Genomic DNA, 25,912 nt, shown 5'->3' with positions numbered 1-25,912 from the left:
GGAGCCACACCGAGATGTCTAACGCTTTCCGATTGAAACGCTTGCAAAATTGCCCTTGTGTGTTGAGAGGAATGAGCAGGAGCATGGTTGTGGTGGAGAAGGACTCCTTGGTGAAGCTTTCCCAGGTATTTGCCTTGTAAAAGCTTTGGTGAACTTTTTCAAAACACTCTCATAATTAGCATATATTATTGTGATTTGGCCCTCCAGAAAGTCAACAGGCAAAATGCCTGCAGCATCTCAGAAAACGGTTGCCATGATCTTTGCTCTTTTATTTTTTTTATTTATTTGTTTTTTGAGACGAAGTCTTGCTCTTGTCACCCAGGCTGGAGTGCACTGGTGCAATCTCGGCTCACTGCAAACTCCACCTCCCAGGTTCAAGCGATTCTCCTGCCTCAGCCTCCCGAGTAGCTGGGATTACAGGCGCCTGCCACCATGCCTGGCTAATTTTTGTATTTTTAGTAGAGACGGGGGTTTCATTGTGTTGGCCAGGCTGGTCTCGAGCTCCTGACCTCAGATGATCCGCCCGCCTCGGCCTCCCAAAGTGCTGGGATTACAGGCATGAGCCACCGCACCTGACTGCTCTTTTATTTTTATTTTTTGAGACAATGTCTCACTTTGTCACCCAGGCTGGAGTGCAGTGGCACGAACATGGTTCACTGTAGCCTTGACTTCCCAGGCTCAAGTGATCCTCCCACCTCAGCCTCCCGAGTAGCTGGGACTACAGGCACATGCCACCATGCCTGGCTAATTTTTGTATTCTTTGTAGAGATGGGATTTCGCCATGTTGCCCAGGCTGGTCTCGAACCCCCGAGCTCAAGCGATCCACCCACCTTGGCCTCCCAGAGTGCTGGGATTACAGGCATGAGCCACTGCCCCCAGCTGATCTTCACTCTTGACTGGTCCACTTTTGCTCTGACTTTCACCTCTTGGTAGCCATTGCTTTAATTGTGCTTTGTCTTCAGGATCGCACTGGTAAAAGCCCTGTTTCATCTCCTGTTCCCGTTACAGTTATTTGAAGAAATGCTTCAGGATCTTTTTTTTTTTTTTTTTTTTTTTTGAGATGGAGTCTCGCTGTGTCACCCAGGCTGGAATGCAGTAGCATGAGCTCAGCTCACTGCAACCTCCGCCTCCCGGGTTCAAGTGATTCTCTTGCCTCAGCTTCCCAACTAACTGGGATTACAGGCATGCACCACCAAGCCCAGCTAATTTTTGTACTTTTAGTAGAGACGGGGTTTCACCATGTTGGCCAGGTTGGTCTCAAACTCCTGACCTCAAGTGATCTGCCCGCCTCCGCCTCCGCCTCCCAAAGTGCTGGGATTACAGGCATGAGCCACCATGTCCGAGAGGCTTCAGGATCTTGATCCCACTTGTTTGAAATTTCCATTGAAAGCCCTGCTGTTGTCTGCAGCTGATCTGGGCACAATGGCTTCTGGGAACAAACTTCGGAGTAGGAAGTTTGCTCAACTTTAATTTTTCAGTCAGAACTGTGTAAGGTGAACCAGTTGAGATGTCTATGGTGTTGGTTGTTGTTTCTGCTGTAAATCATTGGTTCTTTTCAATTAGGGCGTGCACAAGATTAATTCTTCACAAATTGCTCTAGATGGGCTGCCGCTGCAGGTTCCATCAATCTTGTTTTGTTCCTTATTAAAATGAGTTGGCCAGGCGCGGTGGCTCATACCTATAATCCCGGCACTTTGGGAGGCCGAGGTGGGCGGATCTCGAGGTCAGGAGTTCAAGACCAATCTGGCCAACATGGTGAAACCCCCCTCTCTACTAAAAATACAAAAATTAGCCAGACGTCCTGGCGCGTTCCTGTAGCCCCAGCTACTTGGGAGGCTGAGGCAGGAGAATCGCTTGAACCCGGGAAGTGGAGGTTGCAGTGAGCCGAAATCGCGCCATTGCACTCCAGCCTGGGCGACAGAGCAAGACTCCGTCTCAAAAAAAAAAAAAAAAAAGTCCAGGTGTGGTGGCTCACACCTGTAATCCCAGCACTTTGGGAGGCCGAGGCGGGCGGATCACAAGGTCAGGAGATCGAGACCAGCCTGGCTAACACGGTGAAACCCCATCTCATCTAATTCTTTAAAATACAAAAAATTAGCCAGGTGTGGTGACATGCGCCTGTAGTCCCAGCTACTCAGGAGGCTGAGGCAGGAGAATGGCGTGAACCCGGGAGGCGGAGTTTGCAGTGAGCCGAGATCACGCCACTGCACTCCAGCCTGGGTGACAGAGTGAGACTCCGTCTCAAAAATAAAAAAAGAAAAAGAAATCCTGTCTCTATTAAAAATACAAAAATTAGCTGGGCGTGGTTGTGGGCGCCTGTAATCCCAGCTACTCGGGAGGCTGAGGCAGGAGAATCACTTGAACCTGGGAGGCAGAGTTTGCGGTGAGCCAAGATCGCGCCCTTGCACTCCAGCCTGGGTGACAGAGCGAGACTCCATCTCAAAAAAAGAAAAAAAGAAAGAAAAAGAAATTATCCACTTGTATAATAAACTGCTGATTTTGGGGGGCATTTTCCCCATATACTTATTGTAAAGCATCAGTGATTTCACCATTCTTCCACCCAAGCTTTACCATAAATGTGACATGTGTTCTTGCTTCAATTTTAGCGGAATTCATGTTGCTCTGAAAGGAGCTCTTTTCAAACTGAGATCTTATCTTTCTTAGTGCCTAAAACTAGTTTTTTGTTTTCGTTTCTGTTTTTCTGTTTTTGAGACAGGGTCTCACTTTGTCACCCAGGCTGTAGTGCAGTGGCACGATCATGGCTCACTGCAGCCTCGACCTCCTGGACTCAAGTGATCCTCCTACCTCAGCCTTCCAAGTAGCTGGGACCACAGGTGAACACCACCATGCTTGGCTAATTTTTAAATTTTATGTAGAAAGGTGGGTCTCCTTATATTGCCCAGACTGGTCTCGAACTCCTGGGCTTAAGTGACCCACCTTCCTTGACCTCCCAAAGTGTTGGGATTATGGGCGTGAGCCACTGTGCCCTGCTGCCTAAAACTAGATCTTCTTTGGCCATGTTATAACTTTAGTATGACTTTATTTTGGTGCAAAAGAAAAATTGAAATTCAGGCAGGTTTTTTCATAATACACATTTTTAATGAACTTTTTGAAGACCTCTTGTATACATTAAAGCTATATGAGCAAAGAACATTTAATGACATGGTACAATAATAAAGGAAAGCGTCATTTCCGCATCATTAATATGTGTAAATAGGAATGTGTCTGTGTACCTACATTTATACACTGTACATAATTTACATAGAAAAAGACTGGAAAATTTTATATCAATATGATAGTTGTGGTTATCTCTGGGTGATTTTTTTTTTTTTTTTTTTGAGACGGAGTCTCGCTCTGTCACCCAGGCTGGAGTGCAGTGGCACGATCTCGGCTCACTACAAGCTCTGCCTCCCGGGTTCATGCCATTCTCCTGCCTCAGCCTCCCGAGTAGCTGGGACTACAGGTGCCCGCCACCATGCCCGGCTAATTTTTTGTATTTTTTAGTAGAAACGGGGGTTTCACCGTGTTAGCCAGGATGGTCTGGATCTCCTGACCTCGTGATCCACCCACCTAAGCCTCCCAAAGTGCTGGGATTACAGGCGTGAGCCACCACGCCCAGCCGATTTTTTTTTTAATTAAAAATGTTTTGGGGGCCAGATGTGGGGGCTCATGCCTATAATCCCAGCATTTTGGGAGGCCGAGGCGGGTGGATCCCCTGAGGTTGGGAGTTTGAGACCAGCCTGACCAACATGGAGAAACCCCATCTCTACTAAAAATACTAAATTAGCGGGCACGGTGACACAGGCCTGTAATCCCAGCTACTCGGGAGGCTGAGGCAGGAGAATCACTTGAACCCGGGAGTCAGAAGTTGCGGTGAGCTGAGATTGCGCCATTGTACTCCAGCCTGGGCAACAAGAGTGAAACTCCGTCTCAAAACAAATAAATAAATAAAATAAAACATTTTTTTGGCTAGGAGTGGTGGCAAACGCCTATAATCCCAGCACTTTGGGTGGTTGAGGTGGGAGGATTGTTTGAGGCTAGGAGTTTGAGACCAGCCTGGGCAACATAGTGAGACCTTGTCTCTACTAAAAATTAATGAATATATTTTTAACACTTTTTTTTTGTAACGATAATGTCTTGCTATATTGCCCAGGCTGGCCTCGAACTCTTGGGCTCAAGTGATCCTGCTTCAGCCTCCTGAGTAGTTGGGACTATAGGTGTGCACCACCATACCTGTCTTCTGGGTGATATTTTATAAGCAAGTATTATTTTTGTTTTTTTATTTATGCTTTTCTCTTTTTTCCACATTTTCTACAAGAAATGTGTTACTTTTATAATCAGGAAAACAACACCCATAAATATCATAATCTTTTAAAAAATCCAAACCACGTCCTCCGGAAAGAAAATCACAATGTATTTTTTTACTATCCCATACTCTTTTTTTTTTTTTTTGAGACGGAGTTTTGTTCTTGTCACCCAGGCTGGAGTGCAATGGCATGATCTTGGCTCACTGCAACCTCTGCCTCCTAGATTCAAGGGATTCTCCTGCCTCAGCCTCCTGAGTAGCTGCGATTACAGGTGCACGCCACCATGCTCAGCTAATTTTTGTATTTTTAGTAGAGATGGGGTTTTGCCATGTTGGCCAGGCTGGTATCCAACTCCCGACCTCAGGTGTTCTGCCCACCTCAGCCTCCCAAAGTGCTGGGATTACAGATGTGAGCCACTGTACCTGACTTCCCATAATCTTAAAGGATTCACAATTTCCATGTATTTTCAGGGAAAACAAAGTTTTCTGTTGAAGGAATGATGTCTAATGGTGGAATTTTGGGTATCGGTGATCTGATGAAAAGGCGGCTGGAGGGCGGCAAAGCCTTCTGGTTGCTTTGAAATCAAACCCCAGAGGCCTCCTTCTCTGGTCCTGCTGAAGGGAGATTGTAAGGGTGGCCAGAGTGGAGCCAGTAAAAGTGTCCCGAGTGGGTGGAGCCAGGAAACTCCCCAGAGTGCCTTGTCACCAACATGTTTCATACTTAAAAAGAATGAGAGTGAAATGGACATTTATGTTTTTGATCAAAACAGTGACTGAGTTTTGTTTCCCCTCTTGGGAAAACCCTGCACCACTCCTTCCAAAGGGAAGAGAAGAAGAGAGACGGCATCTTAGTAACTGCTACCATTATGACCTCGGATGGAGAGGGAAGGGATGAGAGGGAGGAGACAGGAGCATTTGCTTTTCAACTTTTGTACTTTATACAGTTAAAAAGAGACAGCCCTAGGCCGGGCGCAGTGGCTCACGCCTGTAATCCCAGCACTTTGGGAGGCCAAGGTGGGCAGATCATGAGGTCAGGAGTTCGAGACCAGCCTGGCCAACATGGTGAAACCCCCCCATCTCTACTAAAAATACAAAAATTAGCCAGGCGTGGTGGTGCACGTCTGTAATCTCAGCTACTCAGGAGGCTGAGGCAGGAGAATTGCTTGAACCCAGGAGGCAGAGGTTACAGTGAGCCGAGATCACGCTATTGCACTCCAGCCCAGGCGACAGTGTGAAACTTCATCTCGGGGGCAGAAAATAAAAAGACAGCACTATGGGTGATTTCTATTTCGTGCATATGTGGGGTTTTTTGGTGGTCCTCAGTTTGTCTATTGCGAACACAAGATACTTTTGCAATCAGGGGTAAAAATGTCATAATGAAAGGGCCAAAGAGATGTGGTTGGGCCATCCTGCTGCACTGTCTGCAGGCCACTGACCACCTTCACTCTAGGCCAGAATCCTCAGGCCCCCTTGGGCAAGGGTGAGTAACAGGGCAGAGAGCAATCAGCCTCGGTCCCCTGCCTGGCCCACTCCAGCCCCTCTGGCCTAATGTATCTCTAACCACTTGGACAGCAGACCTGGTCGGCTCCTGTAGACAGCATGGCCCTGTGTCCCCCAGCCTGACCCTGTCTGTGCCTCCCTGCGTGGTGCCAGCTGCCAGGCCTTTCTGCTTAGCTGGACTCTGGCCTGACCCTCCTGACCAGCCCTTTCCTGGGGCTGGAAATGCCCCCACGTGACACTCACTGGCACATGGTGTTTGGCTGAGTATTCATTGCAGCAACTGCAATCTCAAGAAAGGCGCCTGCAGCCTTCAGGACCGTCTGGAGTTTATTTGGCTGCTATGATCGAGACTTGCCGTCTCAGCAGCAGGTGAACACAGCACAAGATTAACAGAACCAAGAGTGAGATAGGGTGCCCAGCCCCAATTTACCAGGCCACCTGCAAAGGCAACACAGACTTTGGTGTCCTGAGACACCTGTTAAGTCGTGCCTACAGGAATTGTAATCCCAGCTGCATGACCTTAAACACATCCCCTGTGCTGCGCTTCCTCATCTGTGAAATAGATATGATAATGATCTTTTTTTTTTTTGAGATGGAGTTTCATTCTTGTTGCCCAGGCTGCAGTCTAACTGGCTCACTGCAGACTCTGCCTCCCGGGTTCAAGCGGTTCTCCTGCCTCAGCCTCCTGAGTAGCTGGGATTACAGGCACGTGCCACCACACCTGGCTATTTTTTTATTTTTAGTAGAGAAGGGGTCTCTCCATGTTGGTCAGGCTGGTTTCAAACTCCCAATCTCAGGTAATCCGCCCGCCTCGGCCTCCCAAAGTGCTAGGATTACAGGTGTGAGCCACTGCACCCGGCCGATAATGATCTCTTTTATCCAGTTACTCCATCAGGAGCACATAGGCTAATGTATGTGAAAATGCTTTATGAGCTGAAAGTGCTTAAATGATATTTTCTGTGAAAATTCATCATGGTTATTTGAAAAGTTGTTTTATTTATTTATTTTAAATTAATATTTATTTATTTATTTATTTATTTGAGACAGAGTTTCGCTCTTGTTGCCGAGGCTGGAGTGCAATGGCGTGATCTCGGCTCACTGCAACCTCCGACTCTCAGGTTCAAGCAATTCTCCCAAGTAGCTGGGACTACAGGCACCTGCCAACTCGCCCGGCTAATTTTTTGTATTTTTAGTAGAGACAGGATTTCACCATGTTGGCTAGGCTGGTCTTGAACTCCTGACCTCAGGAGGTCTGCCTGCCTTGGCCTCCCAAAGTGCTGGGATTACAGGCGTGAGCCACCTTGCCTGGCCTATTTATTTACTTCAAATCAACTAGTTCTTAAGTGTTTGATACCCACTAACTGCATGTGCCCAGCATTGTGCTTAATGCTTCCAGCAAGTCAAGAAATGTAAGATGAGTATGGCTTGTTGCCAAGGAACTTATGCTCAATTTGAGGAAATGGAGCACTCACGTTGAAAGCCCATTTCCTTTCTGTCAATGAGAGGGAGCACTCCGATTCTTGTAAATCAGTTTCTATCACTGGGCCTAGTTTCCTCAGCTGTGAAAAGGAAATGGAGATGCCCGCCTATAATCCCAGCACTTGGGGAGGCCAAGGCAGGAGGAATGTTTGAGCCCAGAAGTTTGAGATCAGCTTGGCCCACATGGTGAAACCCCTTCTCTACAAAAAATACAAAAATTTACCGGGCGTGGCCATGTGCACTTGTGGTCCCGGCTACTTGAGAGGCTGAGGTGGGAGGGTCACTTGAGTCTGGGAGGTCGAGGCTGCCCCTGTCACCAGGCCCTGGTGTGTGAGCCTGACAGGGTGGGGGTAGCCAAGACAGTCCCCTGGCAATGCAGACAACAGCAGGAGAGAATAAGAGCTGTGCTGAGGGTCCTGGCTGAGCCTGAAGGAGCACAGGAGCCGGGAAGTGTTGCTTCCCCCAGTAGCTGGGCCTGGGGGCGCCTTCCTGGGCCAAGTCTTCTCCACAGGGAGCAGGAGGCTCTGCGAGTCAGCCCGCCCTGTCTCTCCTCCTCCTCCAGGCATGCCACCCTCTCCGCACACAGCAGGGTCTGTGGGGGTGGAGGCTTTTTCCAGACATGTATTTAAGTGAGGAGAGAAAACAAGGCGAGTCGCCTAGGATTTGCCAAGTCAGTAGGCAGGAACACAACCCAGGAGGCCAGAAATAAGACGCTGGTGAGGGTCACCCTGCTCTCCGGAGCTGGGGACGGTTTATAGCCCGTGCAGAACGCGTTATAATCACACTTTTGTTTGAGGATGGCCCTTGATCCCCGGGTGTTGTTGCTCTCCTGGTTGGAAGGTAGCAGAGCCCTGATTGTGGGCAGTGAGTAATGGTGACTCAGGGAAATTCACAAGGACACAGGGAACACCCCCAAAGTCATCCAGGGACATGCCCTGGTTCCCCCTGCCGGTCAGGGAGCCAGAAGTTCTGGTCCCCTTTGTAAAGGAGGAATTTCTAAAGTTTTCTCTGGAACTTTGGCAGAATTCTGTAGGACCTTTCAGGGGAAGCATTCGGCTTTGGGAATTTTTGGGGGGGAGATTACTAAAAGTTTTAAGGCTTTGTATCTATTTATGAATTAGCTTCTTTTCTCTCTCTTTTTAAAATTTTTAATTAATTAATTAATTAATTTATTTATTTATTTTGAGACCAGGTTATGAGACTGGCTATTTTTTTTTATTTTTGGTAGAGACACGGTTTCACCATGTTGCCCAGGCTGGTCTCAAACTCCTGGCCTCAAGTGATCAACCCACCTTGGCTTCCCAAAGTGCTGGGATTATAGGCGTGAGCCACCGCACCCGGCTTTCTTTTCTCTTTTAGCTCCTAATTATATTTGTCTCTTAATCTGATTGGGCATTTGTTACCTTGTATGCAAACAATTCTCCAGAAAACAAATTATGACAATAATAATAACAGCTAATGTTTATTCACCCCTTACGACATGCCAGGTACTGGTCTCTCCGTGTATTTTTGTGTTTCATCAAATCTACAGTTCCATCAATCATTAGACATCACGTTATTTGTGTACCACTAAACGATGCTGCCAATTAATCCTTGATATGCCATTGATTTTCAGACTCACCCTGATTTCAGAAATGTTAAAATGGAGATCAATTTTAATCATCTTAGAATCCATGAAATGCAGTAATTAAATCTCAGTTACCATCCTTGCCTTACAGACGGGTAAACTGAGGGACAGAGAGGTTGAGTAAATCTGTCCCAATCTTACCCAGCAAGTATGTAGTGGAGAGGAGAGCCGAACCCAGAGTTGGGCTCCAAAGCCTGTGCTCATAACCGCTGCACTATATTGTGCCTTAGGAAGTCGGATCTGTTCACCGGCAAGACAGGAGGAAGGACACAAAATAACAGAGGGAAAGCTGGACCCACCCTCCACTCCCTTCTCACTATCCCCAGGGCCAGTGGTCACCAGGTCCTGTTGATGTCTCTTCCAAAAACTCTCCCAGATCGTGCTCCTCTTCTTGCTCCCAGCAGCTGACTCGCTGGTTCTATCCTTCCTTGCATCTGCTTGGACTATTGCAATAGCCTCTAAGCTGTTGCCCATCTCCAGCCCCGCCCACTCCCCAACATAGACACTGGAGTCAGAGTCATCTTTCTAAAATGTGAGTCTGATCTTGTTACTCTGCTTGGAAGCATCTGAGGGATCCAAATCCTAGTGCGTGTTTGCTCGCACCTGTGGCAGCCTCTGTTCTAGGCAAACCCCAACATGGTCCAAGCCCTTGTGGAGGCCATGGTCTCACAGAGAAGCAAGACCCCACGGTGGGCAGTTATGATACGATGTGAAACATGCTTCAGTGGGGGGCGTGCTGGGCCCATGGGAGGAGCCCTTGCTCTGGGACCTAAGGGACCACTTCGTAATATCTAAGCCAAGACCGCCAGGATGCATGGGAATTTACCAGGCAAAGGACAGTGAGGATTTCCAGGCAGAAGGAAGAGCAGTGCAAAGACCCAGACTAAAGAGAGATGTTGGAGCATGGACTGTCAGCTGGGGCACAATCCCAGCTGAGGCTGGAAGGACAGTTGCGTGAGGCTGGCTCCTACAGAACGGGCCTCACCTTTCTCTTTCAGCTTAGCTCCTTTCTGCTCCTCTTCCCACCAAATCCCCCTGCAGCAAGTACTTGTGTCCTGAACAGTCTTCCTCCTCTTCACATGTGCTCCACGGGCACCTCACCCCTGCCCAGCAAACTTATCCACCCAGACCCTGCTAGAAGGTAGCCTCCCAGTGAAAACACCCCTGACCCTTGAGTTATCTCTGCAAGCTCCAAGCCGGGCGGAAGAAGACTGAGGCGCTGGTCTCAGGTTCAACTGGGGGATTTGGGAGCATTTTGACAGAAATCAACTGAGAAAAAGCCAAAGTTCCTACAAAGGCCTATAAGACCCCACAAGTCTGCACCACCTCCACCTCTCTGACCCCGTCTTCCGCTATCTGCCCTGTTGCCAGCTTGCTTCAGCTACGTGTCTCCTGGCTATTCCTGAAACCACCCTGACTCCCACTCCCACCCCAGGGCCTTTGCACTCGCTGTTTCCTGGTATAGTTTATTTCTCCCTTATTTGCACAGCTCCCTTCTTTACCTCCACCTTCATCAGATTTTGCTCAAATACCACATTCTCAGAAAGGCCCACCCTGAACACCCTATTTAAAGGCATGGCCCCCATCTCACACTCTTCCTGCCTTTATTTTTCTCCACAGCACTCACCATCTTCTGCAGCTTATGTGATTCACTTATTTATTTGTTTACTGTCTGACTTTTCCCACAAGAATGTGAGTTCCAAGAGGGCAGGGATTTGGGTCTGCCTGGTTCACTCTGTAGCCCCAGCACCTCGCCCAGTGTCTGGCATACAGTAGGTGCTCAGTAAATATTTGTTAGTCAAATGAATGAATTGTGAGCTCTGACTGTGTGCCTGGTACACTCTGCCCTGGACACCATGGAGGACGGGGAGCTGAGGGAACGAGGTCTCTGCCCCTCAGAGGGTGCCTGCTGAGCTGGTTCCAGCGGGCAGTGGGACAGGTCCCTGACAGCCAGGTGAGTCCAGGTGAATCACCACTAATGAGATGGGGAGGGCCACGCCAAGCGGCTTCCCACACAGGCAGCCGACAGGTCACTGCCTGTCGCCAGGAAACTCCTCAATAAGGATTGAACAGGACCCTGGGCTGGGGCGGAGGAAGTGCCCGCCTCTCCTGGAGACCCCACCCATTCCTGAGGACTGAGTCGGCTCACCTGGGCTCCCCCACCCCCTAGGCCTTGGCAAGATGCTGGTTTCTCAACCTGGCCGAGATTTCCTTCCTAAAAGGAGTTTCGCTCGCTCAGCCCCACGCCCATCCCGGGCAGGACCTGTTTGTCAGCCAGCCCTGTCTGGGTCCCTGAGACTGCAGAGGGAGGACAGCTGAATCTGGAAAACCCTGGGACCTCCCCCGCCCCAGCAGCCCATAGGAGGGTCGGTAGACCAGAGCTTATTCAGGGTATGGACAGACCAATGGGGCTCATTAAACCCAACAAGACAGCGTGGGGTGGCCTCCGTGACCACATTCCACTCACCCCGCCGGAGCCTGGGGCCCACTAGAGTGCCCTGAGCCCAGGCCAAATGACCATCCCAGGGCAGGGCATGGCTGTCTCATCTGCACAATGGGGCAAAGCCTCCTGCCCTGTGGGTGGCTGAGGGCCGGGATGAGATCATGGGTACGCAGAGTAAGGAATGCAGGTGGGCAGCCAGGCCTCCACCCCGCAGCTCAGAAGATGTGGCCGATGTGGCCCATGTCTGGGGAGGAAGCTGTCCAGCCCTTGGCCTACAGTGAACTTGGCCAGTCCAGCACCACCCCCCTCCCTTCCTCTCGGCGGGGGGGCCGGGGGGCACTTGAGGCCCCACCTGGCCCTCCTGCCCCAGAACCCAAATAGCCCCTTGCTGAATTGCCTCACCCCAGCCATCTATGCAGGCCTAAAGTCGCCACCTGTAGTTACTCACATCATACTCATACATCCATAGCTTTCAACAAATGTACTTGGCCAGTCATCAGATGTCCCAGGAGCACTCCTAGCTGCCAGGCACAGGGTAAGACCAACGGACGCAAAGATGGTGGGGCAGGGCCCCATCTCAAGGGGTGCACAGTTTGGGGAGGGTAGTCATAAAAATATAGCTTCCATAAAAGCACCAGCAGGGCCCTGACACACACACACACACACACACACACACACACACACACACACACACACACACAATCTATGAGGCGCTGGAGGGGCTCCTCGGGGGCTCAGAGAAAGGATTGGTTGGCCTGGCAAGGTGAGGTGTCAGGTGGAGCCTCATGGGAGAGCTGCAGCTTGAGCAGGGCTGTCCCTGTGCCTTGCTTTGTCTTTGTCATGTAATCCTCACAACAGCCCTGTGAGGCCAACAGCACAGGGGTCACCATGCCCATGTTATGGGTGAAAAACTAAGGTTCAAAGAGGTGAAGTGACTTGCCCAAGGCCTAATGATGGTGAGTGGCAGGGGTTTATCTGGAATTCCAGTTTCCTGACCCCCATGCAGTGGTCTCTCCTGCCCTGCTGTGAGTTCCTTCCTGTCTTCATGTGTCCATTTGTACAGCGAATCCAACCTGGCTACTTACTAAATGCCAGGCAGTATCTGCGAGCTGGGGACCTTAGAGACAGTAAGGTATCACCCAGGCAGGGGAAGCCACACGCACATACCCAGACAGTGCAATCTCCCATTCAAGTCAACATTCAGCAGATGTACAGTGGAACACCAACTGGGAGCCAGGCGGCACACAGGTGCCAGGGTTGCAGCAGTGAACGAGACAGACAGAGTGCAGTCCTGTGGAGGCTTTCTACTACTAGAGAGGGCAGAGAATAATCGCAGAGTAAGGGAGCACGACGCAGGGTGAGGGAAGAGAGAGGGGCCAGGGCGCTTCTTCAGATGGGCTGATCAGGGAGGGCCTTCCCAAAGCAGATCCTGTTTGCTTATGATTGTTTTGAGATGACAGTTGAGGAGAGGAGCCCTGTGGGTACCTGAGGAAATATGCCAGGCAGGAGTAACGGCAAGTGCAAAGGCCCTGAGGCAGGAATGCACTTGGAGGTGTTCTGAGGAGCATCAGGGAGCTGAGAGGGTGCAGGGGAGTGGCAGGATGTTAGGTGAGGGAGGTGATGGGAGTGCGGGAGGCACAGGTCCTAAAGGCTTTGCGGGTCATAGTGAGGGCTTTGCTTTTACCCCACGTGAACGAGCCACTGGAGGGTTGTGAGCTCAGGGCTGAGCTGATGTAACCTAGGTTTTGAAAGGATCTCTCTGGCTGCTATGGAGAACAGACTCTAAGGGGGTCTTTTTCTTGTCTATGTGTCTGCTTCGTGCATACCGTGGTATCCACTTGACATCGTAGCATAAGCGTTGTCCTTTGATGTTAAAACTCTCAGAAACGGCCGGGCGCGGTGGCTCACGCCCGGGGAGGCAGAGAGTCAAAGAGGGGGCTACTGAGATAACCAGGTGAGAGGTGGGCCAGGGTAGTGGTGGAGAGAGGAGCTGTGGTCACATTCAGGATGTGGAGTTTTTTAAATTAATTCATTTTTTACAGGTGAAGTCTCACTCCGTTGCCCAGGTTGGAGGGCAGTGCATGATCATAGCTCACTGCAGCCTTGAACTCCTGGGTTCAAGCGATCCTCCCTCCTCAGCCTCCTGAGTAGCTGGGACTACAGGTGTGCACCACCATGCCCAGCTGGGGATGTTTTGAAGGTAGCCCCAAATGTACTTGCAGACATCCTGGACATGAGGTATGAAAGAAAGTGAGGGCTGAAGAACAATCCTGGCTCCAAGAGCGGGAGGGCAGCTCTGCCCAGGTCGTGCTTGGCCTGAGGTGCCACATCTTCTACCTGGAGTGTGACGTGGGACATGGCACTCCGCAGGTTGACCAATGTGGAGTTTGGACAGAGTTGGGCCCTTCTTCCCTGCTGGGGGGCTTGGGCCACCTCGTTTAATCTCAGATGTCAGGAATTGGGCTAAGCAGGGTTTTATGTGAGTTGAGCTGAGCAGGCTGTCATCTCCCTCCCACCCTAGGTGGGACCGTCAGCCGGCATATTTTTGGAAAGTATTTTGTCCATATGTATCAAGACTTTTAAACTTTCATGCCCTTTGACCCAGTGAATCCCTTTCAAGGAAGTTCTGCTGGGGAAGCCATCTGAAATGCAGGCAGCACTGATGGATCAAACCCTTCACAGGGGATTATTTAGAATCGCCAAATAAATAAATACACAGCCTGCATGTCCAACAGTAGGGAGTGTTTAAGTCAAGCAGATATAGTCTGGCACCTTGTTGTACTGGATTGTTGTGCTGACCTTAAATTCACGTTTCTGAGAGTTTTTTTTTTTTTTTTTTTTTTTTTTTGACGGAGTCTCACTCTGTCGCCCAGGCTGGAGTGCAGTGGATCTTGGCTCACTGCAAGCTCTGCCTCCCGGGTTCAAGCCATTCTCCTGCCTCAGCCTCCCGAGTAGCGGGGACTACAGGCGCCCGCCACCATGCCTGGCTAGTTTTTTTTGTATTTTTTTAGTAGAGATGGGGTTTCACCGTGGTAGTCAGGATGGTCTCGATCTCCTGACCTTGTGATCCACCCGCCTCGGCCTCCCAAAGTTCTGGGATTACAGGCATGAGCCACCGCGCCCGGCCGTTTCTGAGAGTTTTAACATCAAAGGACAACGCTTATGCTACGATGTCAAGTGGATACCACGGTATGCACGAAGCAGACACATAGACAAGAAAAAGAAATAGACTCATACTGATTAGCTCTGATTGACTGAAGTTTGGATTACTATTTTCATTTTCCTCTTTACAGTTTTCTGCATTGTACTAATTTCTAAGATGGACATGCATTACCTTTCTGACTTAAAACTAATATTTAAAAAAGGGGCCAGGCGTGGTGGCTCACACCCGTAATCCCAGTACTTTGGGAGGCCAAGATGGGAGGATTGATTGAGTCCAGGAGTTCGAGACCAGCCTGGGCAACAGAGTGAGACCCCTGTCTCTGCAAAAAATTAAAGAATTAGCCGGTTGCGCTGGGGCACACCTGTGGTTCCAGCTACTTAGGAAGCTGAGGCAGGAGAATTGCTTGAGTCAGGGAGGTTTAGACTGCAGTGAGCTATGATCGAGCCACTGCACTCCAGCCTGGGTAACAAAGTGAGATCCTGTCTCAAAAAAAAAAAAAAAAAAGGAGAAAGAAAACGTGAGTTCCCAGAAGCTGGAGCACAGTGTTGGCCAAGCCAGGAACTGACAGCCAACTAACCCATCCTTTCCAGGGCTCCAGGGTCCACTTCCTCCGGGCAGGGCCGGCAGGTGCAGTCAGGACAGGGATTATGTTGATAATTGTGGTGGGGAGAGACAGGTCCAGAGGCTCCTCCTTCTGCCCCTCCGGCCACCCCCATCATAGGGGTGTGTCCTCCCTTGGGCCCCCTGCAGCCCTTGGAATTTGCCCCTCTATGTCTTCGCTGGAGGCTGATGCTTCCTGCCTTGTGTGTAACCCTGTGGGTCTCTCCTGACTGACACCAAGCATCCCGTATACACTGGTCCTCACGGTGTAGTCCCCAGGCCCGAAGCATCAGCACAACCTGGGAACTCTTTAGAAATGCAGAGTCACAGGCCTCTCCCCAGACCTAGTGAATCTGCCACTCTGGAGGCGGGGCCTCTGTGTTTTCAAAAGCCCTCCAGACCTAAGTGTGAGAACTGCTGCCTTATGGTAGGGCCCCACTGTGGCCCATGTTTTACACTGACTAATTCATTTTACAGATTGCCATGATTCCTGCTTAACAGACACGGAAACAAGCTCAGAGAGGTTAAGGAACTTGCCCAAGGTCACACAGCCAGCAGAGACAGGGCTGGGAGTGCGAGCCCATGCCTTTACTTCCCCACTCCACAGCTGTGCAGCTGCCTGGACGCCAGTCCCTCCTGCGGGGTCAGGGTCCAGCTCCGTGCTGGGCACACAGATGGCCCCACTCACATGGGTTGGACTAGGGTTTTGGCTCCTGGGTCGGAAGACCAGGCTGATTCCCCACAAGACCCAAGCAGCCCTGACCCCCTGTGGGAGGAAGGAGGTGGGCTCCATGTGCCTGCTGAGGCCCCTTCAGTCTTGACAGCTGCCGGCGGTTTGGACCAACGAACCCGCAGAGGAGGGGCGCACCGCCACCTGCTGGCTGGCATCATGGGTGATGCTGGGGACAAACGCAGGGATCCACAGACACACGTCTCAGGGACACCGTGGCAGGCGTGCACGTGTCTCCTCCTGCCGCACGCGGGTGCACTTGCCCACACGTGGATGTCTGAGCATGTGGGCACGTGGGGCTCTCAGCCACAAGGCCTGGTAGATAGCACTAAATTCACCCATTTACTTATTACCTCATCAAATGTTCATCCAGAGATGCCAAGCCCACTGTTGCTGTTATCCGGGAGCCTATAGGCCAGCTGGGTGTTGCTCAGAGCAACCACCAAGTGATGTGGACAAGGGTCCCTGGGGGATATACTCAGTGAGGTCATGCAGGCAGCCCCTACCCATCTGGACTGGGGCTCAGTCTCACAGGGTGGGCAGGAGAGGGCTGGGTGAAGGAGGCAGAGGCTCGTCACAGCAAAGCCTGGAGGAGGAGCTGGAATGGAGCACAGGGGTCCCTGGCACAGGTCTTGTGCAAGGCCGTGCAGGCTGGACCCTGTCCCCACAGTGGTGGCCGGGCTCTGGTGCCACACCATCCTGACATGTTTATATTAAAGCTTAGTACAAATAAGCTTATACAAATAAGCTTTGGGACCCTTTAGGACCCAAGGATCTCTCGGCCCCTTTGGGGCTGGCCTGAGATGTGATTTGTACCTGTGCACTGTCCCCCTTGCCACAGCAGCTGCCCTTGGATATATCAGGGATGAGGAGAGGCATCCCCAGTCCCAGAGAGAAGCCTGTTTCTGATCTCCGAATGGACGCAGCAGATAGCAGTCACCGTTAAGTCAAGCATTCCTGCGTGCCCAGCAAAAGACCATTTTTCTTAATCTACAAGGCCATCCGAAGCAGCTCACAGGGTGTGACCTATTCCAAAGCACAGCTCCACGTGCCCGTGAGGTCCCCCAGGACTCCACGGGAGAGTCAGTGCCTCTGTGGGGGATGGGAGCTGGATGGATGAGCTTTGCTGGGTGGTGGGCATAGCTGGGGGTCCAGAACGCAGACACAGAACGATCCTGGTTGGAGGGCTGGTGTGAGTGGGGAGGGACCCATTGGCAGAGCTGAGGGGTTGGTGGCTCCCAAACAGGAGTTGGCAGGCGGTGCTGGAAGAGGAAATGTTGGCAGCTCCCCAGTTCTGCCGATGGGCTTAGATGGAGCCTGTGACTTTATCAATGGCCAGTCCTCACTAGCCTGGCCCCCGGCCTGGCCCCTGACCTGTGGTTTTGCTCAGCAGTGCAGCGGTGGCGGCTTCCGAGAAGCCCCACCAAGACTTTCCTGTCAGGGCAACGCCAAGTTCCTCTTACCGAGGAAGGGGAAGTGGCGGGGTTTCTCCTAAGGCCTTTCAGTTTCTTTCTAAGAAGGTGGGTGTTCCAACCCCAGGGCCCTCAGCAGAGCCAAATGTTAAAGGAAGAGAAGTTGATCTTCGGGGGCTTCCTCACCCCAGTTCCAACCGAAGTTCCTTTGTTGGGGCCCACAGCGGACATTCCGAAAGAGGAAATGAGACACGTGCGTTCCACAGGCCCCTTCCCACGCCCCCTCCTTTCTCCCTTCTCCAGGGACATACTCCTTGATACCCTCCCTCCCCACCAACATGCACACTTAGGAAGTATGGCCTGCTACCCTTGGGGGCATCCCAGGTAGAAAACTTGCTTTTTCCACCTTCAAAGCTGAACTCTTCTGAGTCCGGCCTCCTCAGGACCCTGCTGAGTGACTAAAAATCTAACCCAGGGCTGGCCATGGTGGCTCACGTCTATAATCCCAGCACTTTAAGAAGCCAAGGCGGGAGGATCACTTGAGCCCAGGAGTTCAAGACCAGCCTGGACAACACAGTGAGACCTTGTCTCTTAAAAAAAAAAATTTAAAAATTAGCCAGGCGTAGTGGTGTGCGCCTATAGTCCCAGCTACTAGGGTGTGGTGGGAGAATTGCTAGAACCCGGCAAGTCGACGCTGCAGTGAGCTGTGATTGCACCACTGCACTCCAGCCTGGGCAACAGAGCAAGACTCTGTCTCAAACAAAACAAAACAAAAAAACGACTAACCCAAACAAAGCGCTGACAGATGACACTGGCTTAATGCAGATTCCAGTCCAGGGGATATGCCCATATTAGAGGCCCACAGCTTTCTGAGGGGCAACAAACCATGGGCACCCAGAGAATTCCAAGCTCACCCTCTTCAGAAGACCCACTGGCTTGATGGCCAAGTGCATGTCCTGACGTTCTTATAACAATAGCCACCATTGATTGTAAGTGCTTATTGCGCACCAGGTACTGGGCCAAGCATTTTACATTAATTTCCTCCTATAATCCCCACAGTGATGCCATGACAAAGATACAATCATGATCCCACAGTCAAGTAACCTGCTCGGCTCACATAGCCCATGAGCCCATTCTTCCTCGTAGGCCTCTTCTCAGAAAGGTGGGGAAGGACGAGTATCAGACCTTGACAGGAGTTGGCTGGGAAGGTCTGGTCTCCAATTTCCCACGATTGTCAAAGCCAGCTGTGCCTCTCCCAGAGGTGAAGAGCCAGCCATCTAGTCGTGGCCATCTTGGCTGCACTAATGTGGCCGTGGCTGGGGCCTTCCCCGAGTCATTGGGAACTCTTGATGCCTTCTTTATTTTCCTCCCAGAGATGTTGTTTTAAGGTTTTTGCTTTGCTGAAGCATGTGTTATGGGGACAGCGAGGGGATTCCCCTAAACCGTGATGCTGTTCTGTTCAAAAACATTTGCCTGGAGGTCCACAGCTGTGTGACTCACGCTGTTGGGTGGCAGGAAAACTCACAGCTGCAGTGGGGAGGGGCCTGGCCCAAACGAAATGGGATACTTACAGGGTGGCCAGGTTTAGTAAATAAAAATGCAGGATGCCCAGTTACATTTGAATTTCAGATAAACAGCAACATTTAGGACACCTTCATGCTAAACAACTTATTTGTTATTTATCTAAAATTCAATTGTAACTGGCCATCCTGCATTTTATCTGATAACCCTAGATACTCAGCACCCAGGATAAATCTCCCGCCTTCCCCCTGGCTTCAGCAGGGTGTTGCCGAGAGAAGACAACAAAACCTGGGAGAAGTCCACTGACCTGGGATGAAGACAAATCTGAGGGTCTCAGTGGTCTGAGGAGGGTAGATACACTCTGCTTCCAGGGTTCCCCTTGAGCAACTGCAAAATCTCAACCTCAGCCCAGGGCAGAATTCCACATTCAAATTCCACAAAATGCAAGGATGCACCTGAAGGTCACCGCTTCATTCTCGGGGCCTCAGTTTTCTTATCTCTGTAATGGGAAGGACTTTTGGATTCTACGATGTCAAGTGACCCTCTTAGCCCTTAGCTTTTCTTGCATAGTGGAAAATCTGCTGGAAGCAAGTGAAGGTATGAGTGAGCTAGCCAAGGAGCAAGTGTAGAGAGGAGGAGGAGGCCATCTTGGCTTGGAAATGGGCCGCCCCTCTTGCCCTACAGCACTGCACGGAGACTGGGCCATTGTACCTGGATGTTGGGTGGTTTGGAGGGCTCCCCTGGGTCAGGCACACCAGTGCATGCCTGGACTTCCTTAGAAGGGACCCTGGGCATGGACCACAGCTAGGTCCATGACTGAGGTGCCCCAGCCATGAGCAGTGGCAAACGCCCATGGCAACACCTGAGCCACAGCAGGGAGGGGACGATCATTAGCTTCAAAAGCAGGGAAGTAAACTGTTAAGAGTGAAATTACTAAATGACTACAAAATGTTAACTAGACATTTGCAACTTAACTCCTATGGTTTATGTAAATTATATGTGATGCATGTGGGTGCATTTGAATATATTTGACACGTGGAAGCATGTGGCCTCAAGAATAAGGATGCCTGGGCCTCTAGCGCACTTGGAAGACAGGCTGGGGATATGGAGACAGTGAATTTCCTGCAGGCCAGAAACCACATCCGGGGGTCTAGGAGCAGCAGGGTGGTGGTGAGGGAGTGAGCTAGAACCTCTAGGGTTAGAGATGGGGTCCGGTCTGGGAGGCAGGAAGACCCCTCTGATAGGAGTGTCAGACAGACGAAAGCAGGTCCCAAAAGGTCCCTGCAGAGGTGACTGGTGAGACCAGACAGAGCCTCAGAGCCAGGCTGCAGCTCTGCACGGGGACCTGAGGACCCACCAGGAGCTGAGACCCGGGCTCTCCAGGCTCGTGGGATGGTGGGATTGCTTCTGCCTGCTGGGAAGGCCAGGGTGCAAACCTGCAGCCTGCAGTGGAGGTGCCTGGGGGCTGGAGGTGCCCAAAGTCCCCATAACTGCCATCAGCTCTATACCTCAGAGGCACCACTAGAAAATGTCTTTGTTTTGGACAATGGACATTTTCTCAGTCTTATATGAAGTATACATTAAAAAGTGTCTTCAGGGCCAGGCATGGTGGCTCACACCCGTAATCCTAGCACTTTGGGAGGCCAAGGTGCGCGGATTGCCTGAGCTCAGGAGTTCGAAACCAGCCTGGGCAACATGGTGAAACCTTGTCTCTACTAAAATACAAAAAATTAGCTGGACGTGGAAGCGAAGTGAATCCCAGCTACTCAGGAGGCTGAGGCAGGAAAATTGCTTGAACCTGGGAGATGGAGGTTGCAGTGAGCCGAGATCGCGCCACTGCACTCCACCCTGGGTAAAAGAGCGAGACTCCGTTTCAAAAAAAAAAATGTCTTTAGTAAACATGACGTCTTCATAACAAAGTATCATAGACTGGGTGGTTTAAACACAGAAGTTTATTTTCTCACAGTTCTGAAAGCTGGAAGTCCAGGAGCACAGTGTCATCAGGGCAGGTTTCTGAAGCCTCTCTTTTTGGCCGGGAGCCGTCTTCTCTCTTTCTCTTCACATGGTCTTTCCTCTGCACATGTCTCTCCTCATTTCCTCTTCTGATTGGATCAGGGCCCATCCTCATGACCTTATTTTACCTGAATTACCTTTTTAAACATCCTGTCTTTAAATGCAATCACATTCTGAGGTACTTGGGGTTAGGACTTCAATATAGGAGTTTTGGGGACATAGAATTAAACTTGTAACACTTATGATTTTTTTTTTGAGATGGGGTCTTGCTGTGTTGTCCAGGCTGCAGTGCAGTGGCACCATCATAGCTCACTGCAGCCTCAAACTCCTGGGCTCAAACCATCCTCCCACCTCAGCCTCCACAGTAGTTGAGAGTACAGGCACAAGCCACCACACCTGGCTAGCTTAAAAAGAATGTTTTAGAGAGGGGGTCTCACTATATTGCCCAGGCTGATCTCGAATTCCTAACCTCAAGTAATCCTCCTACCCTCAAGTGATCCTCCTGCCTCAGCCTTCCAAAGTGCTGAGATGACAGGTGTGAGCCACTGCACCCAGCTGGCCCCAGCCCACTTTTTAAGCTATGATGTAAGTACAAACAGTGGGCTGGCTTTGGAAGTGCAGATTGTATACTGGTCCCAAGATCATCCTATGCAAATTCTGGCGCCTCCCATGCCTACTAGTTTTGATTAGAGGTAGTTTAGGGACACAGCCTGCACTCAGGATGTCCCCTCTGGACATGGCCACCACTGGCCAGCTGGACTGGGAGGGGGTCAGTGTTGTCACCAACATGATAGGACTTCTTAGAACAGGCCTGGCAGCTCTCTCTAACCAACGATGTATGTCTGGTAATCTTTGACTTTGAAAACTCTGTTCTCTTTAAAAACAAAGTTTCAAATTCTGTATCTGGAGCTGCTATTTATAGAATCATCTAGGAATCCTTCACAAAAAAAGGAGACAAATTTGTAGCATTTGTGTTTTTACAAAGTAGCACATTTATTGTTGAAAAACACAGGTGAAAGAGAAGAAAACAAAATCAACAGTAATTGGACCTCCCAGAGATCAGTGTTAACATTTTGGTTTCTGTATCTATCTTCATCTCTCCCTGTGTTTTAATCTACATCTCAATCTACACTTATATAATTCAATTGACTTGAAAGATAAGATTACACGGTGCCATGTCATAACTTCTTATCAATTAGTATATCATGATCACTTCCCAGGGCATGGGATCGTTTTCTAAGAGGCCATTAAAGACGGTGGCCGAGTACGAGAATGGCATAAGCTATTCAACAAATTTCCTATTGTTGAATAATTGGGTTGTTTTACCTTTTTCACAATATCAAATGAAGCTGTGATAACATCCTTTAAGCTAAATCTTTGCCATGATCATTTACTAAGGATAAATTCGTAGAAGCGAAACTTCTGAGTTAAAGACAAAGCATTATTTTATTTTATTTTTTTAAGTTTAAGTTATTTATTTAAGCCATCTCCCGCCACAAGCAAAGGGATGGGAGACCAGTATACCAGTCATCATTTGATACAAGTAAAGAAGGTGAGCTTAAGGTCCCATATACTTTTTCTGGTCCATGTGCAGAGTAATGGTCCAAACCAGTGCTGTGGTCCCTGGTGCCCGGGTAGTGGTCCAGATTCTCTTTATTCATCTTCGTAGCCAGTTGGAAGTGGATTCACATGAGGGTTATGGAATAGAGTATGGTTACCATCTCCCCAGGGAAACGGCTTGGTCCTGATGCGGAGATGGGGGTAGGCGATGAACTCGGGTCTCTCGTGCTCTCCGTGGTGCGACTTCAGGTACACATTCAGCATGCTGACTGCCACCCCGGGGAGCGCGACGAAGAAGGTGAGGGTCTTCCACATGCGAGCTGAGCCCTCTTCTCCATGGGCGCCACTCGACATAGGCCGCCCCAGCTGTGGGCGGGACCGACCCAGCAGCCGAGAAACCGAGAACACACCAACTGCCGCCATTTTTGATCTGGACTGCCGCAGCGCCGCAAAGCATTATTTTAAAATGTTCAACTTTATTTACTTTTGAATAGATAATATATATGGTGTATATATACACATTACAAAATATATGTGTATTATCTCTATGCATATGTACATATATCTCTATGTGTGTGTATATATATAAAATATATAAATATATATAATATATAAATATATATAAAATATACATATATAAAATATATAAATATATAATATATATACATAAAATATATATAAATATATATAATATATATACATAAAATATATAAAATATATATAATATATATACATAATATATAAATATATATAATATATATACATAAAATATATATAAATATATATAATATATACATAAAAATATATAAATATATATAATATATATACATAAAAATATATAAATATATATAATATATATACATAAAAATATATAAATATATATATAATATATATACATAAAAAATATATAAATATATATATATTATATATATATATATTCAGAGACAGGGTCTTGTTCTGTCGCCCAGGCTGGAGTGCAGTGGTGCAATTGTAGCTCACTGCAATTCAAACTCCTGGGCTTCAGTGATCCCCCTGCCTCAGTCTCCCAAGTAGCTGGGACTATAGGCATGTGCCACTATGACAGGCTGCTTTGTTTGTTTTGTTTTGTTTTAATTTTTATTAGAAACGAGGTCTCTCTATGTTGCCCAGGCTGGAGTGCAGTGATGTTATCATAGCTCACTGCAACCTTGAACTCCTGGGGTCCAGTGATTCTCCTGCCTCAGCCTCCCCAGCAGCTGTGACTACAGGCACACATGCCACAACATCCAGTTAATTTTTGTCTTTTTCATAGAGATGAGGTCTTGCTATGTTTCCCAGGCTGATTTCGAACTCTTGGCCTCAAGTGATCCTCCTGCTTCAGCCTCCCCAAATGCTGGGATTACAGGCATAAGCCACTGTGCCTAGCTATTTTTTTTTTTTTTTCCACAAATGGTAGTTGCTATGGTTTGAATGTGTCCACCAAAGTTCATGTGTTGGAAACTCAATCTCCAATGCAACAGTGTTGGGAAGCAAGGCCTAATGAGAGGTGATTAGGTCATGAGGGCAGAGCCAGGATAATGCAATTACTGTGGGAATGGGTTAGTTATTTTAAGAATGGGCATATTATAAAAGTGAGTCTGGGGCCGGGCGCAGTGGATCATGCCTGTAATCCCAGCACTTTGGGAGGCCGAGGTGGGCGGATCACGAGGTCAGGAGATCAAGACCATCCTGGCTAACACAGCGAAACCCCATCTCTACTAAAAATACAAAAAAAAAATTAGCCGGGCGTGGTGGCACGTGCCTGTAATCCCAGCTACTCAGGAGGCTGAGGCAGGAGAATTGCTAGAACCCGGGAGGTGGAGGTTGCAGTGAGCTGAGATCGCACCACTGCACTCCAGCCTGGGTGACAAAGCGAGACTCTGTCCCAAAAAAGAAAGAAAAAAAGTGAGTCTGGCCCCCTTTTGCTCTCTTGCTCTTGCCCTCTCTTGCCCTTCCACTTTCTGCCATGGGATGATGCAGCACAAAGGCTGTCACCAGATGCCACCATCATGCTCTTGGATTTCCCAGCCTCCAGAACTATGAGCCAAATACATGTATTTTCTTTATAAATTACCCAGTCTGTGGTATTCTGTTATAGCAACACAAAATGAACTAAGACAGCAGTATCCTCTATACTATTCTGCACTTTGCATTTTTTCACTTAAGAAATTATCTTGTAGAGTTTTCCAAGTCAGTACTACATAATATTTTATTATATGCATTTACCATAATATATTTAAGTAGTCCCCTGTTGGATAGACGTAGTCCCTTATTGATGGTTACATATTAGTTATATATGACTGTATAACATATTATCCAGAAGTTCAGTGGCTTAGAAAAACAATAAAAAATTATTTTCTCATACAGTTTTTTGCTGGTAAGAAATTTGAGAAGGATTCATCTGGGCAGTGCTCACTTGGGGTCTTTCATGTGGCTGTAGTCAGATGCAAATTGAGGCTGAAGGTATCTGAAGGCTCAACTGGGACTAGAAGATCTACTTCTTTCTTTCTAAAAAAATTTATTATTACTGTTTTTGGAGATGAGGTCTTAGTATGTTGCTCAGGCTAGTCTCGAACTGGGCTCAAGCGATCCTCCCACCTCAGCCTCCTGAGTAGCTGGGACCACAGGTGTGTGCCACCAGGCCTAGCTAATTTTTCAATTTTTTGTAGCAATAGGAGTCTCACTGTTTTTCTCAGGCTGGTTTCAAACTCCTGGGCTCAAGCAATCCCCTACCTTGGCCTCTCAAAGTGCTGGGATTACAGGCATGAGCCACCATACTGGGCTCAAGAAAATCTATGTCTAGAGTTACTCACTCATACAGCTGGAAAGCTGGTGCTGGCTGTAGGTGGGGGCCTCAGTTCCTCTCTACATGGATCTCTCCACAGAGCTGCTCGAGTGTCCTCTGGAAGCTGTCCAGGAAGCTGAGGCAGAAGCTGTGATGCCTTTTATAACCGAGCCTTGGAAGCCACACACCTTTGCTTCCACTACATTCTATTGGTTATGGCAACTACAAAGGTTTGCCCAGGTTCAAGCAGAGGGAATTGACCCTACCTCTCAAAGGAGGATGCTAACATCGCATTATAAGAAGAGCATGGGAAATGGGATATATCAGTGCTTCCATCTTTAGAAAATACAGTCTGCCATAGGTTATTTCCAATATTTTGCTATTACCATATGTTAGTAAGTAGATTTTAAAGACTTTCTATATGTATTGCCAAATCTCCTTTAGAAAGTTGTACTAATTTAGATTCCAACCCCTGGTGATTGAGAAAGTCAATTTCTCTGTATCTTTACTAGCACTAAGTTTATCTTTTAATTAAAAATCTCTGCCAATTTGATATGCAAGAAATGGTATGTCATTGTTTTAAGAAAATTCCTTCTAAGAAAGCATAAGAGCTAAATTTGAGTAGCGGTATCTATATTAGTTTGCTAGTTTAGTTGCTATATTAGTTTCTGCCATAAGAAAATACCACAAACTGGGTCGCTTAAACAACAGAAATTTATTGTCTCATAGTTCTGGAGGCTGCAAGTCTAAGATCA

The 25,912-nt window shown here is 48.8% G+C and overlaps 1 pseudogene, besides 6 other annotated features; it reads right to left on the bottom strand.

The window, feature by feature from the left end:
* Nucleotides 9,407-9,906: an enhancer, noted in NCBI's record as "H3K27ac hESC enhancer chr6:37025507-37026006 (GRCh37/hg19 assembly coordinates)". NCBI's record gives its function as "activates a minimal SCP1, AML or CMV promoter by ChIP-STARR-seq in naive H9 embryonic stem cells {active_cell/tissue: H9 hESC(naive)}" and the evidence as "EXISTENCE:reporter gene assay evidence [ECO:0000049][PMID:30033119]".
* Nucleotides 9,907-10,408: an enhancer, noted in NCBI's record as "H3K27ac hESC enhancer chr6:37025005-37025506 (GRCh37/hg19 assembly coordinates)". NCBI's record gives its function as "activates a minimal SCP1, AML or CMV promoter by ChIP-STARR-seq in naive H9 embryonic stem cells {active_cell/tissue: H9 hESC(naive)}" and the evidence as "EXISTENCE:reporter gene assay evidence [ECO:0000049][PMID:30033119]".
* Nucleotides 10,456-11,342: an enhancer, noted in NCBI's record as "H3K27ac-H3K4me1 hESC enhancer chr6:37024071-37024957 (GRCh37/hg19 assembly coordinates)". NCBI's record gives its function as "activates a minimal SCP1, AML or CMV promoter by ChIP-STARR-seq in naive H9 embryonic stem cells {active_cell/tissue: H9 hESC(naive)}" and the evidence as "EXISTENCE:reporter gene assay evidence [ECO:0000049][PMID:30033119]".
* Nucleotides 15,893-15,942: an enhancer, noted in NCBI's record as "active region_24451". NCBI's record gives its function as "activates an Ori minimal core promoter by ATAC-STARR-seq in GM12878 lymphoblastoid cells {active_cell/tissue: GM12878}" and the evidence as "EXISTENCE:reporter gene assay evidence [ECO:0000049][PMID:35858748]".
* Nucleotides 16,604-17,622: a transcriptional cis regulatory region, noted in NCBI's record as "candidate enhancer chr6.2470 targeted for multiplex CRISPR interference". NCBI's record gives its function as "positively regulates PIM1 gene expression in K562 cells {active_cell/tissue: K562}" and the evidence as "EXISTENCE:mutant phenotype evidence [ECO:0000015][PMID:30612741]".
* Nucleotides 16,750-17,325: a transcriptional cis regulatory region, noted in NCBI's record as "TAD2.SE1.HS7 sgRNA1-sgRNA3 range targeted for Mosaic-seq CRISPR perturbation". NCBI's record gives its function as "positively regulates PIM1 gene expression in K562 erythroleukemia cells {active_cell/tissue: K562}" and the evidence as "EXISTENCE:mutant phenotype evidence [ECO:0000015][PMID:28416141]".
* On the bottom strand, nt 22,255-22,791 carry COX6A1P2 (COX6A1 pseudogene 2; annotated as a pseudogene).

Source organism: Homo sapiens, chromosome 6, assembly GCF_000001405.40.
Source record: "Homo sapiens chromosome 6, GRCh38.p14 Primary Assembly".
NCBI classification, from domain to species: domain Eukaryota; kingdom Metazoa; phylum Chordata; class Mammalia; order Primates; family Hominidae; genus Homo; species Homo sapiens.
The sequence above is the reverse complement of the archived record's forward strand: the minus strand, read 5'-3'. Positions and strand labels throughout refer to the sequence as shown.